The following is a 21,613-nucleotide window of genomic DNA, read 5'->3' as shown; positions in this document are numbered from 1 at the left end:
TTTAATTTTTTTTTTTATTATACTCTAAGTTTTAGTGTACATGTGCACATTGCGCAGGTTAGTTACATATGTATACATGTGCCATGCTGGTGTGCTGCACCCACTAACGTGTCATCTAGCATTAGGTATATCTCCCAATGCTATCCCTCCCCCCTCCCCCGACCCCACCACAGTCCCCAGAGTGTGATATTCCCCTTCCTGTGTCCAAGTGATCTCATTGTTCAATTCCCACCTATGAGTGAGAATATGCGGTGTTTGGTTTTTTGTTCTTGCGATAGTTTACTGAGAATGATGGTTTCCAATTTCATCCATGTCCCTACAAAGGACATGAACTCATCATTTTTTATGGCTGCATAGTATTCCATGGTGTATATGTGCCACATTTTCTTAATCCAGTCTATCATTGTTGGACATTTGGGTTGGTTCCAAGTCTTTGCTATTGTGAATAGTGCCGCAATAAACATACGTGTGCAATGACTTTCTTCACAGAATTGGAAAAAACTACTTTAAAGTTCATATGGAACCAAAAAAGAGCCCGCATCGCCAAGTCAATCCTAAGCCAAAAGAACAAAGCTGGAGGCATCACACTACCTGACTTCAAACTATACTACAAGGCTACAGTAACCAAAACAGCATGGTACTGGTACCAAAACAGAGATATAGATCAATGGAACAGAACAGAGCCCTCAGAAATAATGCCACATATCTACAACTATCTGATCTTTGACAAACCTGAGAAAAACAAGCAATGGGGAAAGGATTCCCTATTTAATAAATGGTGCTGGGAAAACTGGCTAGCCATATGTAGAAAGCTGAAACTGGATCCCTTCCTTACACCTTATACAAAAATCAATTCAAGATGGATTAAAGATTTAAACGTTAGACCTAAAACCATAAAAACCCTAGAAGAAAACCTAGGCATTACCATTCAGGACATAGGCGTGGGCAAGGACTTCATGTCCAAAACACCAAAAGCAATGGCAACAAAAGCCAAAATTGACAAATGGGATCTAATTAAACTAAAGAGCTTCTGCACAGCAAAAGAAACTACCATCAGAGTGAACAGGCAACCTACAACATGGGAGAAAATTTTCGCAACCTACTCATCTGACAAAGGGCTAATATCCAGAATCTACAATGAACTCAAACAAATTTACAAGAAAAAAACAAACAACCCCATCAAAAAGTGGGCGAAGGACATGAACAGACACTTCTCAAAAGAAGACATTTATGCAGCCAAAAAACACATGAAGAAATGCTCATCATCACTGGCCATCAGAGAAATGCAAATCAAAACCACTATGAGATATCATCTCACACCAGTTAGAATGGCAATCATTAAAAAGTCAGGAAACAACAGGTGCTGGAGAGGATGTGGAGAAATAGGAACACTTTTACACTGTTGGTGGGACTGTAAACTAGTTCAACCATTGTGGAAGTCAGTGTGGCGATTCCTCAGGGATCTAGAACTAGAAATACCATTTGACCCAGCCATCCCATTACTGGGTATATACCCAAAGGACTATAAATCATGCTGCTATAAAGACACATGCACAGTTTTTCTTATCCTAGACAGTTTTAAGAAGGACAGGCCTTGGCCGGGCGCGGTGGCTCACGCCTGTAATCCCAGCACTTTGGGAGGCCGAGACGGGTGGATCACGAGGTCGGGAGATTGAGACTATCCTGGCTAACATGGTGAAACCCCATCTCCACTAAAAATACAAAAAAAAAAAATTAGCCGGGTGTGGTGGTGGGTGCCTGTAGTCCCAGCTACTCGGGAGGCTGAGGCCGGAGAATGGCGTGAACCTGGGAGGCAGAGCTTGCAATGAGTCAAGATCATGCCACTGCACTCCAGCCTCGGCGACGGAGCGAGACTCCGTCTCACAAAAAAAAAAAAAAAAAAAAAAAAAGCAAGGACAGGCCTTACATCCTACGATGTTTCTCATTTTGGGTCTGTTTGGGTCTGTTTAGTGTTTCTTGATGACCATGTTCAGGTCACGCTCTCTTGGCAGGAATCATAGAAATGATGCTGTGTTCTTCGCATGCATCACACCAGGGGACACATGATGCTGACTTGTCCCAACACTGTCAGTGACCTTAATCACTTGGTCACCTTGGTGTCTGCCAGGTTTCTTCTCTGTAATGTCACCTTTTTTCTCTTTATAATTGATAGTATTTTCAGGGGACATATCGTAAGATTATGCCAATATCCTATTTCTCGTCAAGTCTTCATCCTCAGTTTTAGCATCCATTGATGAATTCTATCTGAACCAAACACCACTATTTTGTTTTATTTCCATCTCTGTTAGTTGGCATTCTATGTAAGAAGAGCTTTCCTTTTCCTGTCATTTATTTATATCAGCATAGACTTGTAAAATCCCACTTTATTCAGCAGGTTGTAATCAGTTACTGTCATTAAATATTTTATTGCTCATACTGTCCCAGTTTGTCCAGTGGGAGCCCTTTCAAGGAGGTTCCTAGGTCTTCGTAACAAGTCCCCATCATTCTTTGAACACTTTCTGGCAGAAGTTGTTCCAGGCTTCTCTTGTATTTTGCTTGGCTCAGCTATCTACAATCAGCCATTTTCCCTAGAAGCACTGGTCCTATTTAGTATAAAATGGTTTTTACATGCTACAATTTGGGTACTTGGTGTGCTCATTGTTACTGGGATATACTCTTGGACCATCTCTGAACAGTTAAGCGTGTGTGTGTGTGTGTGTGTGTGTGTGTATGTGTACTCTACACACATATATAAGTATACACAAAGATCTATAGCTATTTCTATATCAATCTGTAAATACATAAATTTAAAAATCATGAATTCATACTGATTTTTTCCAATTCAAACCTAATACCTGAGTTCCTTTATAGCCATAAGTACCTTTTCTAACAGTGAAAAAATTTGACTTTTATTATCCTTAATATATTTGTTCATTGACTTATGTGTTCAGTGTAACTAACTTCCTGACCACGCAGACATCTCCTCTGCCACTTCAGCTCTTCACATCCTTGGATGCCAGTGGGAATATTGCTATTCTCTATGCAGCATCCCTGTGCAACGCCGTCCTCCCCTCCTCAGTACCCTTGCCAGTGGGCACCCTTCTGATGCATCTCTGTATGGTATCTCCCTCCTCCCCTCAGTGCCCCGTGCTGGCGAGCATGCCAACCATGCACCTCTGTGAAATTCACCCTCACTCCACAGACATTTTCTGTAGTGGCCTGTGATTGACTGCTCTGCGCCAGGAACAGAAAAGGAGAAGGAACTATAATTTCTTTTATAGGTAATTAGGAATTCATATATCACATAGGAGTAGAATCTTTGAGCTGGAAGAGACCTTGTAAATAAATCATTTAGGGTGAGCAGGGGTATAGAAAATGGGATTCTTTTGTGTTGGAATTCTGGCCCTGTCACTTACTTGGTGAATCTTGCATAATTAAACATCAGTCAGAGCAGGATATTTAAGTCTGCTGATTCTCCCATCCCCTTGCTGTCTCAGAAATATTCTATAGCATTTGGAGACATGCAGGAACCAGTTGAACACAATTGCTTCTCAATCTATCATGGTTATCTACTCCAGAGCTGAATCTTTAAGTCAGATAGCTGATTTGAATTGCTGAACCCATTGTTCTGCTGAATTCTGTGGCAATTGATGTTACTTCTTCTTTAGGACTTCTATTTCTTCTGGCCTCCTTGCCAATAGTATCAAAGTTTAAGAGGATAAATGAATGGGGAGGGGATAGGAGAAGTCTGGAGATAAATGCAGGGAGAAAGGCACAGCACAAACAAAAAGCATTTTGATAAGGCTTTTCTGAAAGTTGAGTAAATATGTCTGTAGCCCATTATTATAACTCATGGCTGGACTCAAATGTCTGGCTTCAACTGATGCGAGACATGTTGGGGCAATGAAGAGAGTAATATGAACAAACAATCATGGCCGTCAATAAAGATGCTTTAGTGAAAGTATTCTCCTTTGGGAAAAAGAGTCAACCTAAATAAATAGCAACTGCCTTTAACTGAATACCCACTCTGTGCCAGGCACCAGGTTAGATTTTTTCATACTTTAGCTGTAATCATCACAACATTATTGCAGAAGTAGGAAGTATTACCCCCATTTTAGAGATAAGGAATATGAGATTCTGATTTGTTCAAGAACCTTCTCCCAGTAGGGAGAAGTGTTATATTCATAACAAACACTTGGTCCTTCCACTTTCCTGCTACTAATACGCAAATAAAATAATTTAACAGAAGAGACTTTTTCTCAGGAATATGATGAATGTGAATGGAATGTGTGCAAAATTAACTTGTAATTGTTATGCTCTCATTTCCACATCTTCTGTCTTTTCTTGATAAAGCTTTTAGGTGGACCTCTGAAGTACTTGATTTCTGTATTTGCTTAACAAATATTTGATGAACACTATGTATCAGGCACGTGGGTCAGGGCATGAGGTATAATGATATAGAATATACTTTACCGATTTTATAGCCAAGAGGGAGAGAGAAACATTAAATAAATTATCACACATCAATATTTTATAAGTGTTATTAAGGAAAACAGTGTAAGATGAAAGTATTTATAACAGGCTGGGCGCAGTGGCTCACACCTGTAATCCCAGCACTTTCGGAGGCTGAGATGGGTGGATCACTTGAGGTCAGGAGTTCGAGACCAGCCTGGCCAACATGGTGAAACCCTGTCTCTACCAAAAATACAAAAATTAGCCAGGCATGGTAGCATATACCTGTAGTCTCAGGTACTTGAGAGGCTGAGGCAGGAAAATTGTTTGAATCGGGAGGTGGGGGTTGCAGTGAACCGAGACTGCGCCACTGCACTCCAGTCTGGGCAACAGAAGAACACTCTGTCTCAAAAAAAAAAAAAAAAGTATATCTAAAAATTAATTAATTTTATATGGTGTGGAGAAGGGAGAAAATATCAAGGAAATTGAAACTAAGGATGAATAGGAGTTAGCAGGTGAAGAGTGGGGCAATAGAACCCCATTGAGTAAATAGAACCACATGTGCAAAAGATGGGATGGAGACGAACAGGAAGGTTGGAGTGCTAAAACAAGAGGCACAACGTCAGCAGATGAGGCTGGAGAGGATAGCCTGATCAGGCAAGCCTGGCATGCCGTGTTAAGGATTTGGAATTGTATACCAAGTAGCATGGAAATCAAATGCACGCACGCGCGCGCACGCACACACACACACACCATTGTCGTCATCATCAACATTATTTTTCATAGTTAATATTTGTTCCTCATATGCTTAACATTTGTTTGCTAGTTATTTCTTTATTTCTTCTTGCTTCTTCACCTTTCCATCTAGGATCACTTTTTCTGCCTAAAATATATCACCTAGAATTTTTTTTTTTAAGAGATGGAGTTTCACTCTTGTTGCCCAGGCTGAAGTGCAATGGCGCAATCTCGGTTCACTGCAACCTCTGCCTTCTGGGTTCAAGTGATTCTCCTCCCTCAGCCTCCCGAGTAGCTGGGATTACAGGCGCCAGTCACCATGCCTTGCTAATTTTTGTATTTTTAGTAGAGACGGGGTTTCACCATGTTGGCCAGGCTGGTCTCGAACTCCTGACCTCAGGTGATCCACCTACCTTGGCCTCCCAAAGTGCTGGGATTACAGGTGTGAGCCACCACCCCCAGCCCTAGAATTTATTTTACTGACTGTTTGTTGGAATTGAACTTTCTCAGTTTTTGTTTTTGTCTGAAAATGTATTGATTTTGCCTTCTTTTATGGAATGGGGGTGGGGAAGAGTGAAATTTACAAAGAGTGAAATGCACAGATTATAAATGTATAATTTGATGATTTTCAACATGTAAAGCCAATGACCCAATTATGATACAGAATATTCCCATCATTCCAGAATGCTCCCTTGGGCCCTCTTCCAGTCAATTCTGCCCGTCTACTCTCTATAGGCAGCCTTTTGTCACCATGGATTACTTTTGTCTGTTCTAGAACTTCATGTAAATGGAATGTACATTATGTACTCTTTTGTGTCTTGATTCTTTTTTTGAGAGTCATCCATGGGGTTGTTTGTATCAATAGCTCATTCTTTTTCTTGGTGAATAGTATTTCGTTGTATGAATATATCCATTCTCCTTCGATGGACACATTGATTGTTTCCAACTTTGGGCTATTATGAATAAACCTACGGTGAACATTCATCTATAAATCTTTTCATAAAAGTATATTTTTATTTCTCTTGTGTAAATACCTAGGAATGGAATTTCTGGGTCATAGGGTTATATGTGTTTAACTTTATAAGAAACTGCCTAACAGTCTCCCAACACGATTGTACCATTTTAATCTCCCATTGGTAATATGTGAAAGTTCTAGTTGCTGCACATTGTTTCAGCAACATTTGAAGTTTCAGCCAAAGCCCTCCTCCTACTCCTGTCTCCCAGCCTTCTCTAGTAACCTAGGTTATCAGCTCCATCTGTATCCTTCCAGTGATACTTTGTGTATAAAAAACAGATATGGTGTTATCACACTTAAAAGTAGTGATAAGATGTAAAGTAATGATGAGTTGTTCTTTCTTAGAAATTATATAGTATTGATTGAATAAAGTCTAGTATTTTAAATGAGGAATACTTCCATAACCACGTTAACTGCAGCAGTTTTCTTTCCTACCCCCATGTTCTGTACCTGTGGTTGTCAACTTTAGTGTCCATCTGAATCATCTGAAGAGTTGTTAAAATACAGACTACCCCACAGTGTGTGATTCAGTAGGTGCAGGCCTCAACATTTGCATATGTAACAAATTTCCATGTGATGTTCATACTGCTAGTCCATGGAATCCACTTTGAGAACTACTGCTTGCTCCTAAATCCAAGGATTCTGGATATTTCTTCTTTATTATGGTTATTACTGTCAAAAACTCTTGAAGAATTCTGACTCATGCATGTGGGTATCATAGACTCCAGCTTTACAAGGACACTTCTAATTGATTTTATTTCTCAGTTATGGGTGATCTTCCACTTATATTTTTATAGATCGTTTCAAATAAATTTACATACCAGAGGAAGAAAACTGCTGTCAATCCATAGGTTCCAGTGTTTAGTTTGGAAAATACGGTCACCGTAAGTGATGTAGCATGTTGCTCAAAAGAAAAAAAAAGGAGGCCGGGCGTGGTGGCTCACACCTGTAATCCCAGCACTTTGGGAGGCTGAGGCGGGTGGATCACCTGAGGTCAGGAGTTCCAGACCAGCCTGGCCAACATGGTGGTGAGGTGATATATGAGAATCCCACATATGTCTCTACTAAAAATACAAGAATTAGCTGTGTGTGGTGGTGGGCACCTGTAGTCTCAGCTACTCAGGAGGCTGAGGCAGGAGAATTGCTTGAACCTGGGAGGTAGACATTGCGAGCAGTGAGCCGAGATCATACCACTGCACTCCAGCCTGGGCGACAGAGGTGAGACTCCGTCTCAAAAAAAAAAAAAAGGAAAAAATATGCATCCCTCCCTAGCAATTTTTTTTTGTTGAATATTTTGTTTTTACCTTATTACCCTATATAAATACAGTATTATTCACATCTGAATCACTATATTATGTTTATAATTATTTATTTCACATTTTTTGTTTGGTTTAGTTTTCTGTATGTCTGTCACAAATTTAATTGCAAGCTGTTGGACAGAGCTTTAAAACCATTCAGTGCGGTAAAAATGTAACACACACACACACACACACACCCCTACACACACACTAAAAATGAATGCTAGCCATTTCCTTTTCCTTGTTCTTGTTGAAGACAGCCTCTTGCTATGTTGCATTCCATCTGGACTGTTTGTTCTGTACACCTGTTGTGTAGCCATCATCTGTGGGCTTCCATTTGCCATCATTGTGAGAATTCACTCGATCTCTTTTCTGTGTTGAATCTACTGTTTCTTTAATTTCTTGTTTTCTTCTTTCCAAATTTATTCCTTTGTTTGGTGGCTTACATCCTCTGTACGAGGGGCGGGTACTGTTGACTGGAGCCTCTCACAGTAGAATGATCTGAACCTACCATTTCACTGTGGGATTCTCACATATCAGGATTTATAGCATTTTTTTTTCCCTTGGATCACCCAGTTCGCTCAATCTTCTGTTTAGTGGGTACAGCAGCCGCTGTTCTCAGACCCAAGTTGGGGGATGAGGCTTCTATTTTCAGCTACTTTAGAAAGGTTTCTTGTTAATCCAGAATTTGTCAGCCCCTACTGTGCGCCAAGTATTCTGTTTGTTTCTACAGAGGGGTATAAAGTTAATGAAAAGATGGCCAGGTGCAGTGGCTCACGCCTGAAATCCCAGCACTGTGGGAGGCCAAAGGCAGGCAGATCACCTGAGGTCAGGCGTTCAAGATCAGCCTGGCCAACGTGGCAAAGCTAAAAATACAAAAATTAGCTGGGCATAGTGGCACGCGCCTGTAATCCCAGCTACTTGGGAGGCTGAGGTAGGAGAATCACTTGAGCCTAGGAGGCTGAGGTAGGAGAATCACTTGAGCCTAGGAGGCAGAGGTTGCAGTGAGCCGAGATTGCGCCACTGCACTCCAATCTGGGCGACAAAGCGAGACTCCATCTCAAAAAAAAAAAGTAATAATTATAATTATAAAAGTTAATGAAAAGAAAGTTTCCAAAATCTCAGTTTTAAAAGTGGAGAAAGGCATAAAGTTTATTGCCTCAGATACAAGATAGTATGTGATAAATGCTACATAAATGAGCCTCTGACAATGAGAAGATTAATTTCATCTAAGGCTTTTAGAAAAGATGGCATTTGGGCTTTGAAGAAAGGACAGAACTTTCTTTAAAGAAAAAATAGAATGTAAAATTTACAAAATGTTTAAGAAGTAAAAACTTTCGCCGGGCGCGGTGGCTCACGCCTGTAATCCCAGCACTTTGGGAGGCCGAGGCGGGTGGATCATGAGGTCAGGAGATCGAGACCATCCTGGCTAACAAGGTGAAACCCCGTCTCTACTAAAAATACAAAAAATTAGCCGGGCGCGGTGGCGGGCGCCTGTAGTCCCAGCTACTCGGGAGGCTGAGGCAGGAGAATGGCGTGAACCCGGGAAGCGGAGCTTGCAGTGAGCCGAGATTGCGCCACTGCAGTCCGCAGTCCGGCCTGGGCGACAGAGCGAGACTCCGTCTCAAAAAAAAAAAAAAAAAAAAAAAAAGAGGTAAAAACTTTCATGATCTTATTACTTTAATAACTTTATTTTTGCATATTTCCTTCTAATCTTTCTGTGTGTGCTTTTACAGTTGTCATAGATTTCAGCATTCTTATTTTTTCAATTAATATAATTATTCTGTTATAATAATAATTACTTTTTGAATGGCTTCAAAGGATTCTGCCTAGATGATATAGGATTTTAATAGTGAACTAGTAAGGGAATCCAGCTTGTATAAAAACTCAGAGATAAGTAAAAATGGGGTATATATATATATTTTTAAAAATAGACTTACTAGGGTGGGGGACAACAGAGGAATGGGAGAAGGATGAAGAATAACAAAAGATAAAATCTCTCAAGACTTGTGAGAAATGGAAAGACGTGCAGCCCTGTGTTTTCTGTTCTTGTTTTTTTTTTTTTTTTGCGTTGTCAAGAAATTGAAGAGCAGTTAGTAGATGTCTTCATGAATTGTGGAGAAAATCTCAGCCTTAAGAAGCTACCTTTTAATTATTGACGCTGCCCGCATAGATAACACATTACATCACATTACCAATTTGTTTCTCCTTGTCATTCAAAAAAGCCACATCTCTTTGCCTGTAATTTGCAACTTTCTATTTTATTTTCAAAAAACAATAAAGCTCTCTTTACTCATGAGTTTGGAAGAGGGAAGTTTCAAGCTTTAGTGAAGAGCCCTGGTCTGGTATAATTTTGTCCCTGTTTTGATTACGGAAAAGGTGTTTAACTTTTGTTACTTTTTTATTTATTTAAGCACTATCCAGATTTCTGTTAATAGTGCTCAGGATCAGAATTCTAAAATTATTGAAGAGATTTTTCTATAGTTGCAGCATTTATGCTGCTTTCCCTCCTTTTCAAACATGTGAGAGATTACAATCTCAACACATGAAAGTGATGGAAAAGACTAATTTGACAATTCTCTAGAATAAAATCATAAAATGAAGTTAAAACCAATGCAAATATTAAAATAAATGGCACTTAATTTTGAAAGAAGTTTTTAATCAGTATAGCTTATCAATTAATCTTAGCATTTAAAATAACTAGTTCTGATTTTTGTGTTGGGAAATGCAAGGAGAAAGGTTAAAAGTTAAATGTATCTGGGATAGCTGTGTTATTTATAATTCCCCTGGAATTGTTTTTGATTAATGCTTGTTACATTTTCCCCAGGAGGCTGGGGAGTGTTTCAGTCGAGGCTAACATGGATGGTTTTTAATATCAGGAGCTCCACAAATATGGATTAACTTTTTAGAGATAGATGGTAATCTCTTTTCTCAGTTAAGGTCATATAAATTATAACTGCTACCTGAACTTAGAAAAAATAAGATAAGTAACATTATTTGCTGTTGTCACTTTCAATTATACTTTACCACTTGAGAGAAATTGTACTTGTTAATTAAGTCATCACAGAAGAGATTTTTAATTGGCAGAATTCAGTTTTGGAGATTCCTACCTGTGTAACGTAGTATGGCTACTTTCCAGTAAACTGGTATAGTGAGAATTTGACCATCAGGGCCCATGGAATATTTCAGTTGGCCTGTTTATTCAGTGACCTTCCAGAAAAAAAGGATAATCTTTTTAAATTAAAAAAAAAAACAAGATTAAATAAAATCTCCCATTTTTGTGAATCCCTCCCCTCAGAAAACTGAAATTTCCTCTCTGGTTTTCAATTCCATCTTTATTTCTGATACCTGAGGATTTCCCTTCTTTCTTGAAAGATCAGCTATATATTTAATTTTATTTGGTGATGGAAGAAAGTTATTTTTATCTAGCATCTCCAGTCAGAGTTTTTTGTGTTGTGTTAATTTACCATATGGATTTTTAGAATTAGTAGAATATTTACAGTCATGCATTGCTTAACAACGGATACATTCTGAGAAATGTGTCATTAGGCAATTTCATCATTGTGCAAATGTCATAGAGTGTAGTTACACAAACCTAGAAAGTATAGCCTACTACACACCTAGGCTGTGTGATATAGCCTATTCTTCCTAGTCTACAAACCTTTACAGCATGATACTGTACTGAATACTGTATGCATTAGTAATACAATGTAAATATTGTGTACCAAAACATAGAAAAGGAAAAGTAAAAATGTGGTATTTTATGGGACCACCATCATATATGCTGTCCATCATTGGCCAAAATATCATTCTGCAGCCATGACTATCTTATTTAGCGAGGCCTCCTGGAACAGGGATGTTTGTAAGTCTTTAGAAGAAAGAAGGTTAAAATAAATAATCTATGATATGCATATTTTCTCCCACTCAGACTTCTTCTGAGAAAGGCATACAAGCTACTGCTTGCCAGTGGAATCATTTTAGAATAGAATCAGTTAATTTGCTATCTCTTGTGCTATAATATTTCATATTTGTTGATCTTTTAAAATTTTAAAAATGTTGGCTAGGCACGGTGGCTCACACCTGTAATCCCAGCACTTCGGGAGGCCAAGGCGGGTGGATCAGGAGGTCAGGAGATCGAGACCATCCTTGCTAACACGGTGAAACCCCGTCTGTACTAAAAATACAAAAAAAAAAATTAGCCAGGTGTGGTGGCGGGCGCCTGTAGTCCCAGCTCTTAGGGAGGCGAGGCAGGAGAACGGCGTGAGCCCAGGAGGCAGAGCTTGCAGTGAAGTGAGATTGCACCACTGCACTCCAGCCTGGGCCACAGAGCGAGCCTCCGTCTCAAAAAAAAAAAAAAAAAAAATTTTTGCCCAGATTGGATAAGGGTACCCCTTTTGCCACGTTCTTGCCAGCATTTGTTATTGCCCATCTTTTGGATAAGAGCCATTTTAACTGGGGTGAGATGATATCTCATTGTAGTTTTGATTTGCACTTCCCTGATGATCAGTGATTTGAGCACCTTTTCAAATACTTGTTTTCCATTTGTATGTCTTCTTTTGAGAAATATCTATTCAGATCTTTTGCCCATTTTAATATCAGATTATTGGAGTTTTTCCTATTGAGTTGTTTGAGCTTCATATATTTTCTAGTGATTAGTCTCTTGTTGGATAGTTTGCAAATATTTTCTCCCATTCTGTGGTCTGTCTCCTAACTTTGTTGATTGTTTCCTTTGCTATACAGGAGCTTTTTAAGTTGATGTGATCCAATTTGTCCAGTTATGCTTTGGTTGCCTGTGCTTTTGGGTATTACTCAAGAAAGTTTTGCCTAGACCAGTGTTCTGGAGAGTTTCCTCAATGTTTTGATTTGATTTTTGTATATGACAAGAGATAGGGGTCTAGTTTGATTCTTCTATATATGGATATCCAGTTTTCCCAGCACCATTTATTGAATAGACTGTCCTTTCCCCATTGTGTGTTCATGGCACCTTTGTCAAAAAGGAGTTCACTATAGATGTATAGATTTACTTCTGGGTTCTCTATTCTGTTCCATTGGTTTGTACGTCTGTTTTTATGCCAATACCATGTTGTGTTGGATACTATAACTCTGTAGTATAATTTGAAGTCCAGTAATTAATTTGACTCCATTTTGTTCTTTTTGCTCAGGATGACTTTGGCTATTCTGGGTCTTTTGTGATTCCATGTATTTTAGGATTGTTTTTTCTGTTTCTGTGAAGTATGTCATTGGTATTGTGATAGGAGTTGCATTGAATCTGTAGATTGCTTTGGGTAGTATGGACATTTTAACAATATTGATTGTTCCAATCCATGAACATGGAATATTTTTCCCTTTTGTTTTTTTTTTGGTGTCGTCTTCTATCTCTTTCATCTATAGTTTTCATTGTAGAGATCTCTCACTTCTTTGGTTAAGTTTATTCCTAGTTGTTTAATTTTATTTGTAGGGATTGTAACTGGGAGTTACATTCTTGATTTCTTTTTCAGATTGTTCACTGTTGGCATATAAAAATGCTACTGATTTAATACCTTGTTTCTTAAATTAAAATAAATGCTACTGATTTTTTGTGTATTGATTTTGTATCCTGCAACTTTACTGAATGTGCTTATCAGTTCTAATAGCTTTTGGGTGGAGTCTTTAGCTTTTCCAAATATAAGTTCATATCATTCTCAAATAAGAAAAATTTGATGTCTTCCTTTCTAATTTAGCTTCCCTTTCTTTTTCTTATCTGATTTCTCTAGCTAGGACTTCCAGTACTATATTCAATAATAGTGGTAAAAGTGGGCGGCCGGGCACAGTGGCACACGCCTGTAATCCCAGCACTTTGAGAGGCCGAGGTGGGTGGATTGCCTGAGGTCAGGAGTTTGAGACCAGCCTGGCTAACGTGGTGAAACCCTGTCTCTACTAAAAATACAAAAATTACCCGGGTGTGGTATCGCACACCTGTAGTCCCAGCTAGTCGGGAGGCTGAGGCAGGAGAATCGTTTGAACCTGGGAGGCAGAGGTTGCAGTGAGCTGAGATCGTGCCACTGCACTCCAGCCTGGGTGACAGCAAGACTCCATCTCAAAAAAAAAAAAAAAAAAAAAGAAAGGAAAAGAAATGGACATCCTTATCTTGTTCCAGATCATAGAGGAAAGGCTTTCAGTTTCTCCCCATTTACCATGGCACTAGCTGTGGGTCTGTCATATATGGCTTTTATTGTGTTGAGCTATGTTCCATCTATAGTCAGGTTTTTGAGGGTTTTTTTTTTTATCATGAAGAGATGTTGAAATTTATCAAATACTTTTTCAGCATCAGTTGAAATGATCATATGGGTTTTGTCCTCCATTCTGTTGATATGACATTTGACTTTCATTTGTGTATGTTGAACCATCCTTTCATCCCTGATATGAATCCCACTTGGTCACGATGAATGATTTTTTTTCAATGTGTTGTCAAATTTGGTTTGCTAGTATTTTATTACGGATTTTTGCATCAATGTTTATCAGAGATATTGGCCTGTAGTTTTCTTTTTTCAATGGATCTTTGTCTGGTTTTGATATCAGAGTAATATTGGCCTTATAGAATCAGTATGGAAAGTATTCCTCCTCCTCTATTTTTTGAAATAGTTTGAGTAGGATTGGTATTAATTCTTCTTTAAATATTTGGTAGAATTTGGCAGTGAAGCCATCAGGTCCTAGGCTTCTCTTTGCTGGGAGACTTTACTACAGCTTCAACCTCATTATTTGTTACTGGTCTTTTTATGTTTTGGATTTCTTCATGGTTCAATCTTGGAAGGTTGTATGTGTATAGGAATTTATCCATTTCCTTTAGGTTTTATAATTTATTGGCATATAGTTGTTCGCAGTAGTCTCTAATGATCCTTTGAGTTTCTGTGGTGTCAGTTGTAATGTCTCCTTTTTCATCTGTGATTTTATTTATTTGGGCCTTCTCTCCTTAGTCTAGTTAAAGTTTTTTCTATTTTGTTTATCTTTTCAAAACACCAACATTTCATTTTGTTGATTCTTTGTATTATATTCTGTTTCAATTTGATTTATTTCTGCTCTGATCTTTATTATTTCTTTTCTTCTACTAATTTTGGAGTTGGTTTGCTCTTGATTTTCTAGTTCTTTAAGATGCATAGCTAGGTTGTTTTTTTTTTTGAAGTTTTTCTACTTTTTCATGTAGGTACTTATAGCTATAAGCTTCTCTTTTAGTACTGCTTTTGCTCTATTCCATAGGTTTGCTATGTTGTGTTTCCATTATTATTTGTTTCAAGAAATTATTTAATATCCTTCTTAGTTTTTTCATTGATCTGCCAATCATTCAGGAGCATACTGTTTAATTTCCATTTGTTTGTATTAATTTCCAAGTTCCTCTTGTTATTGATTTCTAGTGTTATTCTGTTGTAGTCAGAGAAGATACTTTTAAGATTTTAATTTTTTAAATTTTTTTCTTTTTCAAGACAGGGCTACTCTGTTGACCAGGCTGGACTGCAGTGGCACAGTCATGGCTCCTTGCAGCCTCAACTCTTGGGCTCAAGTGATCCTCCCACCTCAGCCTCCTGATGAGCTGGGAGTACCACTCTGCCTGTTTTTTTGTTGTTGTTTTTTTGTTTGTTTTTAAGAGATAGGGCCTGACTGTGTTGCCCAGGCTGGTTTCAAACTCCTGGGCCCAAGAAGTCCTCCCATCTTGGCGTCCCAAAGTGTTGGAATTACAGGCATGAACCATTGTGCCTAGCTGAATTTTTAAAGACTTCTTTTGTGGCTAACATGTGGTTTATCCTTGAGAATGATCCATATGCCAGGAGAAGAATATGTATTATGCAGCCATTGGATGAAATGTTCTGTAAATATCTATTAGGTCCATTTGGTTTACAGTGCAGATTAAGTCCAACATTTCTTTGTTGGTTTTCTGTCTGAATGATCTATCCAGTGCCGAAAGTGGGATATTGAAATTTCCAACTATTACTATATTGAAGTCTAGCTGACTCTTTGACTTTAACAATATTTGCTTTATATAACTGGGTATTTCAGTGTTGGATGCATATGTATTTACAATTGTTGTATCTTCTTGTTGAAATGATGCCTTTATCATTGTGTAATAACCTTTTTTGTCTCTTTTTTTAGTTTTTGTATTGAAATCTATTTGATCTGATATAGCTATTCCTGCTCTTTTTGGTTTTCATTGGCATGGAATATTTTCTGTGTGCCTTTATTTTCAGTCTATGTGTGTCTTTATAGGTGAAGTGTGTTTCTTGTATGCAACAGATTGTTGGGTACTGTTTTGTTAATCCATCAACCACTCTATGTCTTTTGATTGGAGAGTTTAGTTCACTTACATTCATTGTTATTATTGATAAGTAAGGACTTCTGCCATTTTTAATTTGTTTTCTGGTTGTTTTGTGCTCCTTTTTGTGAAAGTGTTTTCTTTAGTGGTATGCTTTAATTTCTTGGTTTATCTATTGTATGTCTGTTGTAGATTTTTTAACTTGATGTTACATGAGGGTTGCAATTAACATCTTACAATGCATTATTTTAAACTGATAACAGTTTAACTCTGATTGCAAAAACAAACAGGAAAAGAGAAAACTAATAAAAACTCTACACTTTATCCTTCTTGCTTTTTAACTTTTTATTGTTTCTATTTTTGTCTTATTATATTGTCTATGACTTTAGAAATTGTTGTAGTTATTATTTTTGATAGGTTCATCTTTTAGTCTTTCTGCTCAAGATATGAGTTTACACACCACAATTACAGTGATATAATATTCTGTATTTGTCTGTGTACTTACTTTTACATGTGAATTTTGTACCTTCAGATGATTTCTTATCGCTTATTAATATCCTTTTCTTTTAGACTGTGGGACACCCTTTAGCATTTCTTGAAGGCTAGGTCTGATGTTGATTAAATCCCTCAGCTTTTGTTTGTCCAGGAAAGTCTTTATTTCTCCTTTATGTTTGAAGGGTATTTTCACCGGATATACTATTCTACAATAAAAATTTTTTCCTTCAGCACTTCAAATAAATCATGCCACTGTCTCCTGCCTATTAGGTGTCCACTCAGAAACCTGCTGCCAGATGTATTGGAGCTGCTTTGTTTTTTGTTTTGTTTTGTTTTGTTTTTAATTTTCTCTTGCTGCGTCTAAGATCCATTCTTTATCTCTGGCCTTTGGGAGTTTGGTTACTAAATGTCTTAAGGTAGTCTTCTTTGGGTTAAATCTGCTTGATATTCTATAACCTTTCTGTGCCTGAATATTGATATCTTTTTCTAGGCCTAGAAAGTTCTTTGTTATTATTTCTCTGAATAAACTTTTTACCCCAATCTCTCTTGCTACCTCCTCTTTAAAGCTAATAAGTCTTTTTTTTTTTTTTGAGACAGAGTCTCACCGTGTTGCCCAGGCTGGAGTGCAGTGGCGCAATCTCTGCTGACTGCAGCCTCTGCCTCCCAGATTCAAGCATTTCTCCTGCCTCAGCCTCCTGAGTAGCTGGGATTACAGGTGCACGCTGCCATGCTTGGCTAATTTTTGTATTTTTAGTGGAGACGGGGTTTAACCATGTTGGACAGACTAGTCTCGAACTCCTGACCTCAAGAGATCCACTCGCCTCAGCCTCCCAAAGTGCTGGGATTACAGGCATGAGCCACCATGCCCGGCCCAATAACTGTTAACTTTGCCCTTTTGAGGCTATTTTCTAGATCCTGTAGGCATGCTTTGTTACTTTTATTCTTTTTTTATTTTTACACCTCTGACGGTATATTTTCAAATAACCTATCTTCAAGCTCGCTAATTCTTTCTTCTGCGTGATCAATTCTGCCATTGAGAGATTCTGATGCATTCTTTAATTTGCCAATTAATTTTTTCAACTTCAGAATTCTGCTTGATTCTTTATAAGAATCAAAGAGGTTTTTAATCTCTTTGTTAAATTTATTTGATAGGATCCTGAGATCCTTCTTTGAGTTTTCTTGTATTTCATTGAGCTTCCTCAAAACAGCTATTTTGATTTATCTGAGAGTTCACGTATCTCTGTCCCTCTGGAATTGGTCACTGGTGCCCTATTTAGTTTGTTTGGTGAGATCATGTTGTCCTGGATGATGTTGATGCTTGTGGATGTTCACTAATGTCTGAACATTAAAGAGTTAGGTATTTATTCTAATCTTCACAGTCTGGGCTGGTTTGTACCCATCCTTCTTGAGAAGGCTTTCCAAGTATTCAGAGGGAATCTTAAGTCTTTGGTCACTGAAGCCATATGTGAGCATATTAGGGGGTACCCCAAGGCCAGTAATGATATGACTCTTGTAGTCTCATAGAGGCACCAACTTGCTGGTCTTGGGTAAGATCTGGGAGAATTCCCTGGATTACCAGGCAGAGACTCTTGTTCTCTTCTCTTATTTTCCCCCAACCAATTGGAGTCTCTCCCTCTCTCTGTCTCTCTCTCTGTTCTGAGCTGCCTGGAGTTGGCAGAAGGGTGACACAATCCTGTGGCCACCATCACTGGGACTGTGTTGGGTCACACCTGAAGCCAACACAGTACTGGATTTTGCCTAAGGCTTGTGGTGACTATTTCCTGGCTACCACTTGTGTTTATTTAAGACCCAATGGCTCTTCAGTCAGCAGGAGATGAATTTGCCAGGACTGGGTCTTTCTTTTCAGTGCAGTAGGTTCCCTTCTGGCCCACGGTGGTTCTAGAAATGCTGTCCAGGAGTTGGGGCCTGGGATTAGGGACTTTAGGAATCTGCTTGGTGCTTTATTTCACTGGGGCTGTCATGGTACCCAGGTTACAAGACAAAGTCCTTTTTATTCTTCCCTTTGATTTTCTCAAGCAGACAGAGTCTCTGCCCATGGCCACCACTGCCCCAGACCTGTGGCTACTATAGTCTGGCTACTGCTGATATTTATTAAGGGCCCAACGTCTCTTTAATCAGTAGATGGTGAGTCCTGCCAGGCCTGGGTCTCTCCCTTTAGGGCAGTGGGTTTCCTTCTGGCCCAGAGTGGGTCTAGAAATGCCCTCTCGGAGCTAAGGCCAGGAATCAGTGACTTTAGGAGTCTGATTGGTGCTTTATTTTACTGTGACTGAGCTGGTACCCAAGTTGCAGACAATTTTTTTTTTTTTACTTTTCCCTCTCCTTTCCTTAAGCAGGAGTCTCCCTGTGGCCGCCACAGCTGGGAATGTGTTGGATCACACCCGAAGTCAGCATAATACTGAGTCTTGCCCAAGGCCTGTGGCAACTGCTGCCTGGCTACCCCGATGTTTATTCAAGGCCCAAGAGCTCTTTAGTCAGCAGGTAGTGAAATCTGGCAGGACTGGGTCCTTTCCTTCAGGGTGGCAGGTTCCCCTCTGGCCCAGGATGGGTCTAGAAGTGTCTGGGAGTTATGACCTAGAATGGGGGCTTCAGGACTCTGGTTGCTGCTTTATTTTATTGTGGGTGTGCTGGTATCCAAGTTGGAGAACATAGTCTCCTCTACTCTTACCTCTCCTCCTGGAGCTATGAACTGTGCTGTCTGAAGTTGGAGGAGGGGTGACACAAGCACACCCTTGGCCGCCCCGTCTGGTGTCTCACTGGTTCATGTGCATCCCAAATCTACTGGCTCCAAGACCAGCACAGTACCAGGACTTGCTCAGGGACTGCAGTCCTTATGGTCTAGACTGCCTTTTAAGTTTATTTAGGATCTTGGAGTGCTTTAGCCTACAGGGGCAAGGCTTGCCCAAACTTAGCCTTAAACTGCTGGGATGGATGATTCCCCTCTGGCTGAGGCTGGTCTAAATACTCCCTCCATGGGTGCAAGCTGACTTCTGCCCTCTGTTGCCTTCCACTGCGACAGGGCAGCACTGAGTTCCAATGCAAAGTCCCACAATCACTTTGCCCTTCGTCCCGCAAAGGCATAGATTCTCTCTCAGCCACCACACTGCACTGCCAGGGCATGTGGGAGGGGTGGTGTGGGCAATTCAAGACTGTCTTTCCTACCCTCTTCAGTGCCTCTTTCCTTGATACGATGTTGAAACTAGGTACTGTGATCAGTCACCTGATTTTTGGTTCTTATGTAGGTGCTTTCTTGTTAGAATAATTGTTTAATTTGATGTTCCTTGGTGGGGACTCTCACTGGAGGGTTCTAATGAGCCATCTTGCTCCGCCTCCTCCTCCATATTTGTTGATCTTAAAAAATGCTCCTGTAAATACTGTTGTACTTAAGTCCTTGTGTACATAGATGTACATTTATCTAGGGAAACATCTAAAAATACAGTTCCTGGGTTTTTATTTTAGAACTTTAGTAAGCATGTCAAACATCTCTTTAGAATGATCCATCAATTTACACTCCCACCAACAGTGCATTTAGAACTCTTTCTGCTGACCGGTGAGATTATCTTTTCATGTATTTCTTAGCCATTCTATATGGTATCTTGTACTAGGTTAATTATATCTTACATATTGATTTTTAGGAGTTATTCACATATTCTGGATAATTATCATTTGTCTCAATGATGTATATTTTAGATACTTCTGTAGATATTTTAGATATGTCTACAGGAAGAAGTATCTAAAATATCCCCTTGTTTTTTTCATTTTGCACATGATATTTTTTCTCATACTAAAGGTATATAATTTTATTATTGTGGAATTTAATAATTTTTGCTATTAAGATTGTATTTTTTAAATCTTTCCACATGCTAAAGAACTATTCTAAAATTTTAAATGAACTTTTAAAAATTTCTTTTCACTTTTAGACTTTATCTGGAATTTGGTTTTATGTTTTAGTATAAGATAGTGATTGAATGTTATTGTTTACTTCTTTACTCATTTTTACTCCTCTCTATGAATTTTGGAATTATTTGTAAAGATCCATGAAAAAATTTGAAGGGAGAATGGGAATAGTATTAAATTTATAGATTACTTTGGAGAAAAAAGATAATAATATTAAATATTTTCACACGTAAACATAGTGGATTTCTCCATTTATTGAAGGCTTCTTTACATTCTTCAATATTTTATAAATTTTTTAAAATAAGGTCTTGCTCTGTCACCCAGGCTGGAGTGCAGTGGTGTTCATAGCTCACTGTTACCTCAAATTCAGGCAATCCTCCTGCCTCACCCTCTCTAGTAGCTGGGATTACAGACACAAGTTATCATGCCTGGCTTATTTTTTGGAGGGATGGGGTCTTGTTATATTGCCTATGCTGGTCTTGAACTCCTGGGCTCAAGCAATTCTCTCACGTTGGCCACCCAAAGTGCTGTGATAATAGGTGTGTGCCGGCATAACTGGCAATATTTTATAATGTTATCTATGAAGTTTTTTTATATTTCTTATTAATTTTATTTCTGTTCTAATAGTTTTGTAACTTGTGAATTTTTTAAAAAATATACATGTTTTATAATATTTTCTTACCTTTTTATTTTGAACAATTTCAAACCTACAGAACCATTAAAAGAGTAATATAAGTAGTACAGTGTACACCTGTATACCCAAGAACTAGATCCACAAATTGGTAACGTTTCGCTTATTCCCCTTTATTTGTATACACACACATACACACACACACACACACACACACACACACACACAGCATAGTTATGTTCAGTTTTTTATTTGCTAAGTTATTTGAAAATAAGTTGCAAGCTTTATGATACTTTATTCCTAAGCACTTCAATATGTGTCTCTTAAATCTAAGACACTCTTTATAAAACCTCTATGCCATCATATCAAAGATATTTAATATTTGATACATTATAATAGCCACACATTATTATATACTCTGTTGTCTGTTGAATGGGATTTAAAAAAATAACCTTTTCTAAGTAGTTATTACAAATTATTATGGGCTGGGTGCAGTGTCTCACACCTGTAAATCTCAACATTTTAGGAGGCTGAGGCAGGCAGATCACCTGAGGTCAGGAGTTCGAGACCAGCCCAGCCAATGGTGAAACCCTGTCTCTACTAAAAATAGAAAAATTATCTGGGCATGGTGGCGCATGCCTGTAATCTCAGCTACTCAGGAGGTTGAGGCATGAGAATCGCTTGAACCGGGAGGCAGAGGTTACAGTGAGCCAGGATCACACCACTGCACTCCAGCCTGGGCAACAGAGTGAGACTCTGTCTCAAAAAAAAACCAAAAGCCAAATGGTTAT

The 21,613-nt window shown here is 38.7% G+C and overlaps 1 protein-coding gene across 3 annotated transcripts in view; it reads left to right on the top strand.

The window, feature by feature from the left end:
* NEDD4 (NEDD4 E3 ubiquitin protein ligase) overlaps positions 1-21,613 on the top strand; it is a 166,696-nt gene that overhangs the window by 5,122 nt on the left and 139,961 nt on the right. The window lies entirely within an intron of this gene.

Source organism: Homo sapiens, chromosome 15 (assembly GCF_000001405.40).
Source record: "Homo sapiens chromosome 15, GRCh38.p14 Primary Assembly".
Taxonomy (NCBI): Eukaryota; Metazoa; Chordata; class Mammalia; order Primates; family Hominidae; genus Homo; species Homo sapiens.
The sequence above is the reverse complement of the archived record's forward strand: the minus strand, read 5'-3'. Positions and strand labels throughout refer to the sequence as shown.